We start from the raw sequence: 3,860 nt of genomic DNA on the forward strand, positions 1-3,860 counted from the left end.
AGAGATGAGTACTTTCATATTTCTGAAATCCTGAGATTCAGGCAAAGTTTTAATAGTCGTTTTTATATTAGTGTTTATGTATTTTGAGAAACTTTTTGGAGTAAAGGACTTTACGTAATGAAGTTTTTTTCTTAATAATTGTAATTTAATAACTGCTAAACATGAGTTCTAGTGTCTTGATCTAAAACCAGTTTAATGCTGAATTGAGTTCCTATGATGGGTTGGGCAGATAAACATACAGTGAAGCACCATTTATATCTTAGAGGGCCTGTTGTTTTGATTTATTAAGTTTAATACACAGTACTTGGTCCTTGTTACACATTTCCAATATGATTAGAAAGTCTTTTTTTTTTTTTTTTGAGACGCAGTCTTGCTCTGTCGCCCAGGCTGGCGTGCAGTGGCGCAATCTTGGCTCACTGCAACTTCCGCCTCCCGAATGCAAGTGATTCTCCCACCTCAGCCTTCCGAGTAGCTGGGATTACAAGTGTGTGCCACCATGCATGCCCGACTAATTTTTGTATTTTTAGTAGAGATGGGGTTTCACTGTGTTGGCCTGGCTGGTCTCCTGACCTCAAAGCGATCTGCCTGCCTCGGCCTCCCAAATTGCTGGGATTACAGGCGTGAGCCACTGCACCTGGCCAAAAAAAAAAGTCATCTAAATTCCTCCTAGGAGTAAGGGAAACGACTAGGTTTTGGATAGTGTGCACCAGAGGAAAAATGTGTTACAGGTCTAAGTAGCATGAAAAAAGTGATTGCTAAGTTTTGTTTTATGTTCCACCAGCATTGGTTGTTAAACACAAGGAATGAATGGTGGTGTTTTACCGTAAGGAATAAGACATGGTTTCCCTCTTTGGGGAGCTTCCCTGCAGACAGGAATTGCAGATGGAAGCCTTGTGCTCACAGGTTTTACCCTTATCTTGTTGAGGATGGCTCTCCCAGCTGGAGTGGGAAGCGCTTCACTGCTTGAGACTTTTGTATTGGAAACAGAATTGACACCTGGGTAATGAATAATACATGGGATAGGAAGATGTTTCTTAGCCATAGGATTTAACCGATCTGTTTTCCACAGCTGTTTTTGTTTGAAATGCCCTTAAAAGTTTTAGTAACTTTAGAAAGGAAGAGTTTTTGGAGTGTGAAAACTTATAATGCTTGTGTGTTATAGAGAGCACTTATTGACTTCTTTATCATAGACATTATTTGGATACGTCAGGCCTAGGACCCTACATCCAGCAACCTCTAATGCAGGGCTCATTTTATGCCAGGCATATATATCTGGTTATTACATATAAACAGTTTAATTGTTCAACACTTTTTTTTTTTTTTTTTTTTGAGACGGAGTCTCACTCTGTCTCCCAGGCTGGGGTGCATTGGTGCCATCTTGGCTCACTGCAAGCCTCCTGGGTTCATGCCATTCTCCTGCCTCAGCCTCCCGAGTAGCTGGGACTACAGGTGTCCACCACCACGCCTGGCTAATTTTGTGTACTTTTAGTAGAGACAGGGTTCCACCATGTGGGCCAGGCTGGTTTTGAACTCCTGACCTCAAGTGATCCACCCGCCTCGGCCTCCCAAAGTGCTGGGATTACAGGCGTGAGCCACCGCGCCTGGCCTGTTCAACACTCTTTTCTGCTTGATGTGTGGAGTGATTGAATCACCATGTTTTCCTTCACTGCTCTCGTGAAGAGTAATACATTACAGAGGTAAGAGGTGTCAGTCACATCACTTTTTATTTTTACCGTGAAAGTACTTCTAATCTGATGTGATTGGTAGTTTTTTAGCAAACCAAAAAGTCAGTTAAGCAAAGGAATCATAAAAACCAATATATGAGACCTTAAAAGCTTTTTATTCTTAAAACACATGCCTGTTCGCCAGTTTTGTTGTAAGGTAAAGGTGCATGTCTTTGAGCATAGGTCCAGAATGGAGTTATCCTGCCCCTTCTTGCATAAGCTGCACTCAGATGAATTTCCTACAGTTTCTATTTTTGGGTTCTTTTTTAAGTGGCACATGAAACTAGATATGCATGAAGCAATTTTTAAAAAAACTTTTTATTTTGAAATAATAATAGACTCTCAGGAAGTTGTAAAGAAACTAGAGAGGTCATTGTATATTTGCGCATACTGCCCCAGTGGTTACATTTTATGTAACCATAATAGAGTATAAAAACCCAGAAATTGAAGTTGGTACAATGTGTGTGCGTAGTTCTGTGCCATTCTATCAAGTGTCTGTAAATATAACTACTACTACAATTTCCTATGCAGAACTGTTTCATCACCAGAAAGATCTCTCTCCTGCCTCTCTTCTGCCACCATCTCTAACTCCTGCCAACCACTGATCTGTTCTTCATCTCTATAATTTTGTTACTGTGAGATTACCAAGTGATATGTGACCTTCGGAAATGATTTTCTTTACTCAGCATAATGCCCTCAGGTCCGTCAAGGTTTGTTGAGTATATCAGTAGCTAAACTGGGACCATTTATTTGTCTCTTCATCTAATCATCAATTAAAAATGACCACGCATAAATGTAAGCTTTTACAGTTAAACTTATTGTATATAAATAGTCACTTCGGCTGGGCGCGGTGGCTCACGCCTGTAATCACAGCACTTTGGGAGGCCGAGGAGGGCGGATCACTTGAGGTCAGGAGTTCAAAACCAACCTGGCCCCCATGGTGAAACCCTGTCTCTACTAAAAATACAAATGAGCCAGGTGTGGTGGTGTGCGCTTGTAATCCCAGCTACTTGGGAGGTTGAGGCAGGAGAACTGCTTGAACCCAGAAGGTGGAGGTTGCAGTGAGCCGAGATCATGCCATTGCACTCCAGCCTGGCCAACACAGCAAGACTCCTTCTCAAAAAAAAAAAAATGTCACTTCATGCTTAGAAATATCAGTAGATGGCCGGGTGTGGTGGCTTAGCCTGTAATCCTAACAGTTTGGGAGGCTGAGGTCAGGAGATCGAGGTCATCCTGGCGAACATGGTGAAACCCCATCTCTACTAAAAATACAAAAATTAGCTGGGTGTGGTGGCACGTGCCTGTAGTCCCAGCTACTTAGGAGGCTGAGGCAGGAGAATCGCTTGAACCCAGGTGGCGGAGGTTGTAGTGAGCTGAGATCGCGCCACTGCACTACAGCCTGGTGAGAGAGCGAGAATCTGTCTCAAAAAAAATAAAAAAGGGCAGTAGATAAAAAAAGTACAAACATGAGTATCTTGATAAATTCTATTCTCAGGCTTTCAGGTTCATAATCCTGTTGATAGATGACATGTAGAAATAGAAGAATTTGTAAATATAGGAATATTCATTGATGTTTTTAGGACTGGATTCTAAGGGTGGTTTTTACCTCTAATATCCAAATACTGCTGCCTCAAGAGAACAATTTTTGTTTTCAAAATTCCATGATAAAAAAGATGCAGTAACCCTGTATGTGGCATTTTGTCAGGTTAATTAAGAGCATTTTGCAGCAAAAAAAAAAGTTTTTTGTAGAGGCAGGGTCTTGCTTTGTTGTCCAGGCTGGTCTAGAACTTCTGCATTCAAGTGATCCTCCTGCCTTGGCCTCCCAAAGTGCTGTGATTAGATGTGTGAGCCACTGTGCCTGGCCTGGTGTTTTAAAGAACTAACTTTTAACTTTGGTTCTTGGAAAAGACTAGCAATACTTGTTATAAAAAAAAGGAAAAGGGTTTAGCCGTAGGACTTTGATGACAATTCCTTTTTTTTTTTTTTTTTTTTGAGACAGAGTCTCACTCTGTTGCCCAGGTTGGAGTACAGTGGCACTATCTCAGCTCACTGCAACCTCCACCTCCCAGGTTCAAGCCATTCTCGTGCCTCAGCCTCCCAAGTGGCTGGAATTACAAGTGTGCACCACCACACCCA

General features: G+C 41.8%; 1 annotated feature.

The window, feature by feature from the left end:
* Positions 738-1,287: an enhancer, noted in NCBI's record as "OCT4-NANOG-H3K4me1 hESC enhancer chr15:28837557-28838106 (GRCh37/hg19 assembly coordinates)". NCBI's record gives its function as "activates a minimal SCP1, AML or CMV promoter by ChIP-STARR-seq in primed H9 embryonic stem cells {active_cell/tissue: H9 hESC(primed)}" and the evidence as "EXISTENCE:reporter gene assay evidence [ECO:0000049][PMID:30033119]".

The sequence above is a fragment of the Homo sapiens genome, chromosome 15 (assembly GCF_000001405.40).
Source record: "Homo sapiens chromosome 15, GRCh38.p14 Primary Assembly".
Lineage (NCBI taxonomy): Eukaryota > Metazoa > Chordata > Mammalia > Primates > Hominidae > Homo > Homo sapiens.